At 34.3% G+C, this 12,942-nt stretch overlaps 1 long non-coding RNA gene across 4 annotated transcripts in view, besides 4 other annotated features; it reads left to right on the plus strand.

Moving 5' to 3' along the window:
• Nucleotides 1–12,942, plus strand: part of LOC105374140 (uncharacterized) — a 266,957-nt gene that overhangs the window by 212,524 nt on the left and 41,491 nt on the right. The window lies entirely within an intron of this gene.
• Nucleotides 3,473–3,552: an enhancer, noted in NCBI's record as "active region_20670". NCBI's record gives its function as "activates an Ori minimal core promoter by ATAC-STARR-seq in GM12878 lymphoblastoid cells {active_cell/tissue: GM12878}" and the evidence as "EXISTENCE:reporter gene assay evidence [ECO:0000049][PMID:35858748]".
• Nucleotides 6,923–8,122: an enhancer, noted in NCBI's record as "P300/CBP strongly-dependent group 1 enhancer chr3:144156282-144157481 (GRCh37/hg19 assembly coordinates)". NCBI's record gives its function as "activates an origin of replication core promoter dependent on BRD2, BRD4, P300/CBP, MED14 and CDK7 cofactors, with strong dependence on P300/CBP, by STARR-seq in HCT116 cells {active_cell/tissue: HCT116}" and the evidence as "EXISTENCE:reporter gene assay evidence [ECO:0000049][PMID:35650434]".
• Nucleotides 7,184–7,815: an enhancer, noted in NCBI's record as "H3K27ac-H3K4me1 hESC enhancer chr3:144156543-144157174 (GRCh37/hg19 assembly coordinates)". NCBI's record gives its function as "activates a minimal SCP1, AML or CMV promoter by ChIP-STARR-seq in naive and primed H9 embryonic stem cells {active_cell/tissue: H9 hESC(naive and primed)}" and the evidence as "EXISTENCE:reporter gene assay evidence [ECO:0000049][PMID:30033119]".
• Nucleotides 7,518–7,807: an enhancer, noted in NCBI's record as "active region_20671". NCBI's record gives its function as "activates an Ori minimal core promoter by ATAC-STARR-seq in GM12878 lymphoblastoid cells {active_cell/tissue: GM12878}" and the evidence as "EXISTENCE:reporter gene assay evidence [ECO:0000049][PMID:35858748]".

The following is a 12,942-nucleotide window of genomic DNA, read 5'->3' on the forward strand; positions in this document are numbered from 1 at the left end:
AATTCTACTTATAGATTACTTTCAGGATTAAGTGAAATAAACATCATTTAACAGAGTTTCTGGCAGTTAATGTGGGCTCAATATATGATATCTGTCTATCTGTCATCTGTCTATCCATCTATCTATCTATCTACCTATCTATAATCTATCACTATTTGTATCAGTATTCCTTCCATTGCTTAGAATTAATACTCTATAGAGAATATGTCTGGAACCATGATTAACTAGAAAATAATATTCAAAACTTTTCCTAATTTAAGGGATCATCTTTGGTTTGAAGACTTTTCACTGTTCTTGTCATTCATTCAGATGGTAGCGAGTTTAGCGTTGATGGAATGATTACACTTGAAATTTATGAGTCCTTATGAAGAGATTCAATCACCTTTCTTTGTAGAGCACAGCATCAGAACTGCCTCTGAAAAAGTGGAGCCTCACTGTTTGTAGACTTCAGAATTGTCCCTCTCACTTCAGCAGCACTCATTCTGGATGAGAGAATCTTCCATCTTGTTTCCAGGACTATTTTTTTTCTTTGATTTAGAAAATGATGCTCTTTCACAACAAGATTCTGGCTGTAATTTCCCTAGATCAACCAGAAAACATTTCAAAAGAAAAAAATAGAAATTTTATGAAGGGAAAATGTATTCAGAGAAGAGTAGGTGACAGTGGCTATTCTTTTCATAAAACATGAGATGAGACACTGATGGAAATTAGGATGAGACAGAACTTATACAAGTGACATTACAAAAGTGATATAATTTGAAAATGTGATGAAATAAAAACTACAATGTCTAGTCATACTAGAAGTGAGACTGTTTGCTCTAGGCAACCATGCAAAAATACAAAAATGTTGAAAGAGTGAAACATTTTCTAAGTTTGTCTGTCATGAGACCATAAGGTATGTCATAGTTATCTAGAAGACACTGCAGGAGAGCAGCAGAAAATAGCTGCCAAGTGGCCACTGTGAAGTTTCCCTGGACAATAATTATTTCAGGTGATTTAAGTGATATGAAGCTAGATTCTAACCTAGAATTAAACAGATGTGAGTATCTAAGAATTTTTTCTTGTAGTGATTAAAAACAATTATGCATAAAATTCAAAAGTCATATATATCTATCTGAAAAGTCTTATGTCTTAAAATTCAAAAATCATATATATATATATATCTTAACATACATATCTTAATATATATCTTAAACACAACAAGTCACAAACAAGTCCCAAACAAGTCCTGATTCCTCATTCTCCACCACAATCTTGCTTTTCCCACTATCTTTCAATCTCAGTGGCTCAGGCCAAAATTCTACATTTATCTTTGACTGTTTCTTTTTTTCTCTCATCACAGATTAAGTCTCTTAGGAATCCCATTTATATATCCTTTCAAAGTATATCCAGACTCCAACCACTTCTCACTCCCTCCTCTGCTACCACACTGGAGTAAGCCACCATTAGTTATTACTTGAATCATTGCCAGAGTCTCACAAATATTCTCCTTGCTCCTGTCTTTGCTCTCTACATTTTTTACTACACAGAATAGTGATTCTTTAAAATCTATGTCAGATCATGTCAGTATTCTATGCAAAATGGTGTGATGAGTCCCCATTCTAATCAAGTAAAAAACAAAGTCCTGAAAATTACCTTAAAGGTCTTCTATGGTTAAAATTCCCATTTTTTCTCTGCTTCATATCCTGTTACCTTTTCTCTTGTTCACTCCAATCCAACAACACTGAGGTTTCCTCCTCTAGAATCTACAAATCTGTCTGACTACTCTAAAATGGAGTTCAGGTTGCCACCTAAAGAAAAGCATGGCTGAGCTAGATTTATTAATATAGAATATAAACATACATTATTCTAGAAAATGAAAGCAAAGACATATAAAACTATAAATATTAAGGGTCTTTGTAAAATTATAAATAATGACAGAGCTCTACCTCTAGAGAGTTTAGCTGGAATATTTGAAGAGGGTAATTATAGAATATTTAAAAATGAATACATTAAAACAGAAGAAATATGCTCATAAAAACATTCTGATGTTCTTGTTAATATAAAACATAGCATATGTTTTATTAATAATATTTGGATAAATTATAGATTCATAATATATCAAAAATGTATACATTGTAGAGATATCTAACTCTGTGGTTGTGATACTGTATAAATTATTCATTCTAACTCCTAATTGTCCATTGGAATTATTTTCTGGACGGATAGATGGATGGATGATTATATTAATTCAGCGTTATACTTTTCATGATCATAGGTGTTGCATTTATATAAATACGATGATGAGTAGATATGTATAAGATGTTTTCACTATTTTATATGACATCTTTCTTTTTTAACAAAATGTAAACAGCTTTCTTTTACTAGATTGACTAATTTGTAATTCTCAATGTATATACCAAACAGAATATACCATTATAAGGAAGAGAATAAAAACCACCTTAAATCTCAACACCCTGTGGAAACCACCATGAGTGGTTTGGTGATTCTCCTTTCAAATATATAAACAAACATGCAGACACCCACATACTGACACGTATGAATATTTACACATGCACTATCATACCTCATACACTGCCTTTATCACACCTTTTATTCTTTTACTTAATACATCTTTCCTTCTCTTTTCCAAATTCCCCTTACCTCATCTATGCAATATCAATAACTTTTTGCACATTTTCCCACACTCTTCTCTATGTTTATTTAACAACTGAATCACAAAACACACAGTCATATATAAGACTTATTTGTCATTGTTATGCAAAAATGATCTCATATTACTTCTCTTCTCTGGCTTTAAAAAATTAACACATGCTCACATAAATTCTTTTAAGTGCATTAGTAGAGCCTTAATTCATTCCTTAAAAATTCCAAATGATATTTCAAGTATACTTGTACCATAATAATTCACCAAATCCCTTATCATTCTATACAATTTTTACCAGCAGTTGCTTCTTACTTCTATAAATGATTCCACAACTGATATATTTATACATATGTATTTATCAGCTGGTGCTTTTATTTGTATGAGATGGAGTCACAGGAGCATAAATGGTGGCTTTGGATTTATTAAGCTAGAAGATAGTGTAATGCAGACCACTGCCATAATGACAATGCAAAGGCTCCATATGCTTCCAAAGTATCATTTATCATCATGATGGAAAAAAAAATTGAGGCTAGGCAAGGATTCTGAGAATATATCACCAAGCACCACTTTTAAATAAAATATTAGAAAAGAACTCTTCAAACCAAATGAATCAGAACAGGAATATCAAATAGCAGAAGATTAAGTGAAAAAGAGAACAAGGTAAGCAAAGAATCTTGCAATATGTATAGTTAATTGTAAAAAAAACTTAGACTAAATGTGAATGAGGAAGTTAAGAGATAAAGATTGCCATGGAAGGGAGGTACTGCAAGGAGAAAACTGAAACTAAAAGTCAAAACAGCAGATGCTGGTGAGGCTGTGGAGAAACAGTAATGCTTTTACACTGTTGGTGGGAATGTAAATTAGTTCAGCCATGTGGAAGACAGTGTGGTGATTCCCCAAAGACCTAGAACTAGAAATACCATTTGACCTAGCAATCCAATTACTGGGTACATACCCAAAGAAATACAAATAATTCTATTATAAAGATATATGCATGCATATGTTTGTTGTATTACTATTCATACAACAAATGTATGGGCAAAGAATCAACTCAAATGCCCATCAATGAGAGACTGGATAAAGAAAATGTGGTATATATACACCATAGAATACTATGCAGCCATAAAAAGGAATGGGATCTTGTCCTTTGCAGGGACATGGATGGTACTGGAAGCCATTATCCTCAGCAAACTAATTCAGGAACAGAAAACGAAACACCGCATGTTCTCACCTATAAGTAGGAGCTGAACAATGAGAACACATGAACACAGGGAGGGGAACAACATACACTGGGGCCTGTTGGGGTTGGGAGTGTAGGGGAAGGGAGAGGATCAGGATAAATAGCTAATGCATGTGGGGCTTAATACTTAGGTGATGGGTTGATCTGTACAGCATACCACCATGGCACACGTTTACCTATGTAACAAACCTGCATGTCCTGTACATGTATCCCAGAATGTAAAATAAAATAAAGTAAGATATTAAAAAATACCGAAAAAAGTCAGTCCTAAATTATCTCAGCAACACTTGGGACAGGAGGAGGAGGGGGACTATGTATTCTGAAATTTTCAGGAGGCTGTCCCTTCAGAAAGCAGAGCCTCTTGAAGGGGGAAATACATGAATTTGGGGAAAGGAAAGGTAACTATATACACAAATATCCAAGTTAACAAGGGATAAAACAGCATAAGTAATTACAAAAACAGATGAAGTAATAAAGCAAAATAAATTGCACATGTTAATGGGACAAAACAATAAAATGAAATAAGTAAGTTTCTACATTAAATGTGAGCATGCTCAATGATTCTAAAAAACAGTGATAGCAAGACTAGAGTAAAACTTCACACCTAGCTATTTTCTGTTTTTAAGAAACACTTAAAATTGCACATTGAAAGAGGTTGAAAATGAAGATATGATCAAAGAGAGACAAGACAAGGAAAGCAAAATGAAAGTGGCAGTATAAATAATATAAAGAGTTGAATTTTAGGTTAATAGCAATAAAGAATATTGAGGTGCAGAATTTAATAAAGAGCTCCAAGTTAAGAAAGAAATATTATAATAAAAAATTCTTAGGCACTGAAATAAATAGCAGCTGAATATATTCAAAGCCAATGCTACTAGTAATGCAATAAAAAACCTTTAAAGATTAAAAGATTTTAGTATATTTCTTTTAAGATTAGATAGATATCATGAGCAAAAAATAGATAAAATATAAGGTAACTGAATAATATATTCAATAAATTTCATTATATATTTGTATGCATAGGCAATATCAATAAAGAGATATACAGAGACACTTATGGACTACAAATGATGGACATAATCTATATCTAAATTTTAGATATGATCATAATTAAGAAATAGAAATAAATTATTAAAAGGTGAGCTTTTGAAAACAAAAAAAAACTTACCTAATTTAAAATTAAGAAATACTCTTATAAGTAATATCCAGTTATTGTGGAAATGAAATTAAAGTGGCAAGCAATGTAAGAGTAATGCAAATGAGAATACAGATGTTCCTGCCTATCCGTGTGTTCTGTATGCATGGATTCAGCCAGTCTCATATTGAAAATATTTTTTAATTGCACCTCTACTGAATACGTACAGAATTTTTCTTGTCGTGATTCCCCAAACAATACAGTATAACAACTATTTACATAACTTTCACATTGTATTAAGTATTATAAGTAATCTAGAAGTGATTCAAAGTATATGGGAGGATGTGCATACTATATGCAAATACTATATCATTTTTATATCAGTGATTTGTGAATTCACAGATTTTGGTATCTGAGGAAGGTCCTGAAACCAATCCTCCATGGATACTAAGTGACGACTGTATTAAAATACTCCACTATTATTGTGTTGCCATCTATCTCATTTCTTAGGTGTAGCAGTGATTGTTTTATAAATTTGGGAGCTCCCATGTTAGATGCATGCATATTTAGGACTGTGATATTTTTCTTTTGGATAGTCTTTTATCATTATATAATGTCCCTCTTTCTCTTTTTAAACTTCTGTTGTTTTTAAGTTTGTTTTGTCTAATGTAAGAATAGCTACTCCTGCTTGCTTTTGGTGTCCATTTGCATGGAATATCTTTTTCCACCCCTTTACCTTAAGTTTACGTGAGTCCTTGTGTTAGGTGAGTCTCCTGAAGACAGCAGAAACTTGGTTGGTGAATTCTTATTCATTCTGCCATTCCGTATCTTTTAAGTGGAGCATTTAGGCCATTTACATTCAATGTTAGTATTGAGATGTGAGGTACTATTCTATTCATTGTCCTATTTGTTGTCTGAATATCTTTTTTTAATTGTGTTATTATTATATAGGTCCTATGAGATTTATGCTTTATGGAGGTTCTATTTTGGTGTATCTTGAGGATTTGTTTCAAGACTTAGAGCCCATTTTAGCAGTTCTTGTGGTTCTGGCTTGGTAGTGGCAAATTTTCTCAGCATTTGTTTGTCTGGAAGACTGTATCTTTCCTTCATTTATGAAGCTTAGTTTCACTGGATACAAAATTCTTGGCTGAATTTTGTTTAAGGAGGCTAAAAACAGGACCCCAGTCCCTTCTAGCTTGGTTACTGCTGATAAATCTGCTGCTGTTACTCTGATAGGTTTTTTTTTTTTTAATAGGTTACCTGATGCTTTTGCCTCACAGCTCTTAAGATTCTTTCCTCTGTCTTGACTTTAGATAACCTGATGACTATGTGCCTCGGTGATGATCTTTTTGTGATCAATTTCCCAGGTGTTCCTTGAGCTTCTTATATTTGGGTGTCTAGATCTCTGGCAAGGCCAGGGAGGTTATCCTAGATTATTCCCTCAAATATATTTTCCAAACTTAGATTTCTCTTCTTCCTTGGGAAAACCAATTATTCTTAGGTTTGGACACTTAACATAGTCCCAAACTTCTTAGAGGCTTTGTTCATTTTTTTAAATTCTTTTTTTCTTTGTTTTTCACGGATTGGGTTAATTTGAACATCTTGTCTTTGAGCTCTGAAGTTCTTTCTTCTGCTTGTTTGATTTTATTGCTGAGATTTTCCAGTGCATTTTGCATTTATCTAAGTGTGTCCTTGATTTCCAGAAGTTGTGATTGTCTTTTATTTCTGCTATTTCACTGAAGATTTTTTCTTTCCTATTCTGTATCAAGTTTTTGATTTTTTAAAGTTGGAATTCTCCTTTCTCGGTGCCTCCTTGCTTAGCTTACTAATAGACTTTCTGAATTATTTTTTGGGCAATTAAGAGTTTTGTCTTAGTTTGGATACATTGCTTGTGAGCTGGTGTGATCTTTTGGAGATGTTAAAGAACCTTATTTTGTCATATTACCAGAATTGTTTTTCTGGTTCCTTCTCACTTGGGTAGACTATATCAGAGGGAAGATGTGGGGCTCCAGGGCTGCTTTTCAGATTTGTTTCACAGGGTGTTCCCTTGAAATGGAGTTCTCCCCCTTCCCCTAGGGATGGGGCTTCCTGAGAGCCAAAGTGCAGTGATGATTGTTTTTGCTCTTCTGGGTCTAACCACCCAGCAGATCTACTGGGCTCCAGGCTGCTACTGGGGAATGTCTGCAAAGAGTCTTGTGATGTGATCTATCTTCAGGTGTTTCAGCTGTGGATACCAGCTTCTGTGGAGGAAACAGAAGAGTGAAGCAGACTCTTTGAGGGTCCTTGGTTGTATTTTTGTTTAGTGAGCTGGTTTTGTGTTGGTCGGCCTCCAGCCAGGAGGTGATGCTTTCAAGAGCACATTGGCTGTGGTACTATAGGAAGGAAGCAAACTTGCCTGGTTAAGTATTGAGGTTTCTCAGGTGGTGGACAGGGCCATAGAGCTCCCAAGAGATTGTGTCCTTTGTCTTAGGCAACCTGGGCGGGCAGAGAAAGACCACCAGGTGGGGGCAGGGATAGGCATGTCTGAGCACAGCCTCTCCTTGGGCAGGGCTTACTGCAGCTGATATGGGGCATGGGGGTGTGGTTCTCAGGCCAATGGAGGTATTTTCCCAGGGGGATTACGGCTGCCTCTGCTGAGTCACACAGGTCACCAGGGAAGTAGGGGAAAGCCTGCAGTCACATGCCACACTCCACTCCCATGCAGCCCACAGTCCTAAAGGCTGGTCTCACTCCCACCATGCCCCACCAACAGCACAGAGTCTATTTCTGGTGACCAGGGCTGAGAAGTTGCCTCAGACCACCAGCCTCCCCGCTGAGACTCAGTTTTTCAGCATCTCAGGGAGCCTGCAGCAGTGATCCAGTTCCTTCAGAGGGTCTGTGGATTCTCTCAGCTTTCCTGGTATGTTGCTGTGGTACTTCTTGGAGTAAAAGTTCACAATGCGAGTCGCCACACGCTGCTCTGCCTGTGTGAGTGGGAGCTGCAAGCTAGTCCTGCCTCCTACCTGCCATCTTTATTCAGTATCTCACAAGTAAGAAAATTAAATCAGCAGTCAAACTTTTTAAACAACAACAAAAAAAGCCCCGGACCAGATGGCTTCATTTGTGAATTTTATGAACATTTCAAAAACAATTAACACCAACCCTTTTAAAGCTCCTCCAAAAAATTGAACAACAAAGACTTCCATACTCATTTTATGAAGCCATCATTACCCTGATACTAAAGCCAGACAGAAAGGCTAAATGAAAAAGAAAACTATAGGCTAATATTCCTGATGAACATAGGTATAACAGTCCTCAACAAAAGACTATGAAATTGTATTTACTAGTACATTGAAAGAATCGTACACCATGACCAAGGGGAATTTATTTCTGGGATGAAGGAGGGTTCAGGATAGGCAAGCTAATTAATGTGATATACCACACTTACAAAATGAAGGGTAAAAAGTCACATGACTATCTAAGTAAAGGCAAAAAAGCATTTGAAAAAATTGAGCACACTTTTATGAGAAAAACTCTCAACAAACTAGGTAAAGAAGTAATTTACCTCAATATAATAAGCAATATATAAAAGGTCCTACACCTAACATTATATCTGATGGTGAAAAATTGAAAGCCTTTTCTCAAAGATTATAAACAAGGCAAGGATGCCCAGTCTCATTACTTTTATTCAACATAGTACTGGAAGTCTTAGCTAGAGTGATAAGGTTAACTTTGTGTCCCCACCCAAATCTCATCTTGAATTGTAATTCCCATAATCCCTACATGTGGAGGGAGGGTCCCAGTGGGAGGTGATTGGATCATGAGGGGGGTTTCCCCCATGCTGTTCTCATGATAGTGAGTGAGTTCTCACGAGATCTGATGGTTTTATAAGACAGGTTTCCCTGCTCTTGCTCTCTCTCTCACCTACTGCCATGTAAGACGTGCCTGCTTATCCTTCTGTGATGATGGTAAGTTTCCTGAGACCCCCGGCCATATGGAACTGTGAGTCAATTAAACTACTTTCCTTTACAAGTTACCCAGTCTCAGGCGTTCTGACAGCAATGTGAAAATGGAATAATACATAGAGTAATTAGGAAAGAAAGAGAAATAAAAGGCATCCAAATCAGAAAAGAGGAAATAAAATTCTCTCTGCAGTTGAAATGATCTTATATGGAGAAACCTCTAAGGACCCCACAAAAAATTGTTTAAATGAGTACACAAATTCAGTAAAGTTTCAGGATACAAAATTGACAAACAAAAATAAGTTGTGTTTCTATACACTAACAACAAACTATTCAACAAACAAAATGGGTATTCTTCATTTTCTTAAAACAATCCCATTTACAACAGCAACAAAAATAATGAAACACTTAAAACTTAATCAAGGAAGTGAATTAGTGTTAGATATTACTATTTTTTCTTTAATTTCATTGTTACGTATATAAAAATATGGCTGTATTTTATTATTTATGGACACAGGCAGTTTTTTGTTTATTATTACAGACAATTCTGTAACAATACTAATTCTAAACAGATTTTTGTATAGAGGTACAATCTAGGCTAGATAGTAAGACATGGAATTATTAAGCTAAAGGGTGTGGCCACTGAAAATGTAAGTATATACTATAAAATTGTTATGTTAAAATGTTGTATAAATTTACATTTCCACAAAGCATGTGCTTTAGAACTATTTCTTCATTTGATGTTTACATTTTTGCCAATTGGATTAGTGGGAAAGGTATTTCATTATTGGCTTACTTTACATTTTTGATATGACAGTACAAGTAAACATTTTTACATAGCTCTATTAGTTATTTGTATTTTGCCATCTGGTAATTGGCTAAAAATTAATTCTTTGTTCCTTTTCTTATTTTGATTTTGTCTTTTCCTTTTAATTTTTAATAAAGATTGACAATATTCTGGTTATTGATAATTTACACATATTGAAAATATGTTCTCCCAGTCTTTCATTTCATTAGATTTTAACTTTCTTTATAGCACTTTTTTTGGTTGTTCAGAACTTTTTAACATTTAAATAATCAAGCTGATAATTGCTTTATTATTTATTCTAAAGTAGGTCTTGTTTTAAGAAGGACTTCTCTTCTTAAAGGGAATAATATATGTTATATTATTTCTTATTTTTCTACATTTTCTTTTAGTTCTTTTTATTTAGTTTAATCATTATCCCTTTAATACAGCCGAAAATTGTTTTGTACATTTCTATTCATGCATTTTTTTAATAGAAAAGAAAACATGTTCACATATATGAACACAGTAAATTAGAAACATTTTCAATGGGAAAAATCCTGAGAATCCTAAAGTGTTCAAGATAACAGATTATTTAAAGGATTTTATATGACTTTTAAAAAGCATCTCTTTTGAATGTTAATTTGAATATTTGAATAATTGAGAAAAAACTGATTGAGTTTAAGATTTCAGGGAATATAGCGAATCTAAATAATCAGTTTTTGATTTTGCTGTTATTAACACTACTAACCAACAGAACCAAAATTAGAAAATTACAAAAGCAAAAATAGTGTAGTACCCCATTCTAGTGATTAACGTCAATAGTGATGTCATATTGATAGTATGTTCCTTCATAGGATATAATGAAAATGATACAAACCTCTGTGGTCTTTCTTTCCAAAACGGTATGTTTGTCTAATTGTGAAAAAACACTCAAAACCAAAATAAATAAATAAATACAATCCAGGCAAAGAAGCAGGCAAAGCCCACATGAGAGACATTCTACAAAATATCTGACTAGTACCTATCTCTTCAAAACTAAGGAAGTCTGAGAAGCTTTCACAGACAAGAAGAACCTAAGGACACATGATGACTAAATGTAATGCAGTGCCCTAGATGAGATCCTGGAAGAGAAAAGGGACACGAAATTAAAAACTACAGAACTCTGAATAAAGCATGTACTTCATTAATAATGAAGTGCCAATATTGCTTCACTAATGTAATGTAATGCAGAGGAAACTTGGTACACTATTTATGTGTTAACTTCAACAGTTTTCTGTAAATCTAAAAAGAAAAACATGGCTTAGCTTATGGAATTAGCTTATGTTAAGATAATTTTACAGAAGAAACTATGACTTTTCTTTAATATCGTTAAGATTACATGACCAGTTTTCTATGGTGATGTTGGCTGTGTGGTTCAGTGGATAAACATATAGCAGCAGACATTAATTGTGTTTCGTTATAAAAGCTTGGTAAATATAAGCACTGCTTTCAGGAGAAGCAAGGAAGAGAAATAATTGTATTGCTTTCTTGAACAAAATAAGTAAATGTTCCTATTTCTAAATCAGATTAGGGTTTCTGTTTTGTCTTCTTTTTTTCAATTTTCTGCCTCTAATTAAATAAAAAGTACAAAAAGAAAGCAGAAGAATTTTTAAGAGATATTACTGGGGCAGAGAGACCTTTTTTAAAAAGACGCAATCTTAGAAGCTGTCTTTTTTTGCATCTGGTATACTGTCAAGTTGATGATATGAATTCCTCAAGGAATATAATAGATTTTCATATAGTTTATGCAGGTATGAGATAAATGATTTTTAGTGATACAACATTGAAAAAGTGAATATCAGATACTCTACATAGTTGTTCTCTGACATATATTTAAAACTCAGTGCTCCCAAGGTAGTTTAACAAGCTGTGTGCTGTCCAGAAAGATGTGAACAATGTGAGCATTTTTTTCAGAGAAACTGTAATCCAGTTATTAATTGGATAGCTGAATGAGGATGAGAGGATTATAGCTTTCATCTTGTGGCTTATCAAAACCAGTATCTGCATCTTGCCCGCTTTTTAAATTTTAATTAGAATTGACAGCAGAAGTCAAATCCTTTAGGCAATATGAAAATAGTATATCATACATTCAAGTTAATGCATTTTAAAATTTATTATTGAGGTAGTCTTTATCCCAGTGATAGACAGGGGCTTGGAGATCATCTACAACACTACTGAGAACTCTTTAACACCACGTTAGGCATACCCATCTACCACAATGAAAACATTGAAGTGATATTCGCATTTTGCTTTTATCTCCTGGAATTTCATAACATATGAGGAGCATGTGGTCATATGAGATCAAGGAAGATAAATGCTAATCTGCATTTTTCTTAAATGGGCAAAATAAGTCACTTTTCTTTTCTTTTCTTTTTTTTTTTTTTTTTTTTTTTGAGACGGAGTCTCACTCTGTTTCCCAGGCTGGAGTGCAGTGGCACAATCTTGCCTCACTGCAACCTCCGACCCCCCTGGTTCAAGTGATTCTCCTGCCTCAGCCTCCCAAGTAGCTGGAATTACAGGTGCCCACCACCATGCCCGGCTAATTTTTGTATTTTTAGTAGAAACGGGGTTTCACCACGTTGGCCAGGCTGGTCTCGAACTCCTGGCCTCAAGTGATCCACTTGCCTCAGCCTCCCAAAGTGCTGGGATTGCAGGCGTGAGCCACCGAGCCTGACCAAGTCACTTTTCTAATGTATTCTACATCTAAATATGTTCTACAGTCTCTTGTTGCTGTCTTTGCAGAGTTCAAGTTTATATTTCCACTGAAGCTAATGACTAATACAATGCTTTAGAATTTGTGGGGTTCTGATCTTTTCTTGTTTAGAACTATTTTCAAATAAACACATTTCTTTTTATTTCTTTTTTAAATGTGCAAAATCACAACTGATGTTTGCCTCTGTATCTTCTATTGAAGTTCAGTATTCTCTATTTGGTATTTTTCATGACTTAGAAAATGTAATTATTTCCATGTCACAAAAATAAAACTATTTATAATTATGATAACCTTTACAAGTGATTTTTCCCAAAGGATAATTGACTTTAATATTTAAAATATAAGTTTGGCATATACCTCTAATTGTGTGTGGAGACAAACTCATTTCTTCTTCTATTTACAGGTACATAAATGCATATGATACTCTGATCTCATTATAG

Source organism: Homo sapiens, chromosome 3 (genome assembly GCF_000001405.40).
Source record: "Homo sapiens chromosome 3, GRCh38.p14 Primary Assembly".
NCBI classification, from domain to species: Eukaryota; Metazoa; Chordata; class Mammalia; order Primates; family Hominidae; genus Homo; species Homo sapiens.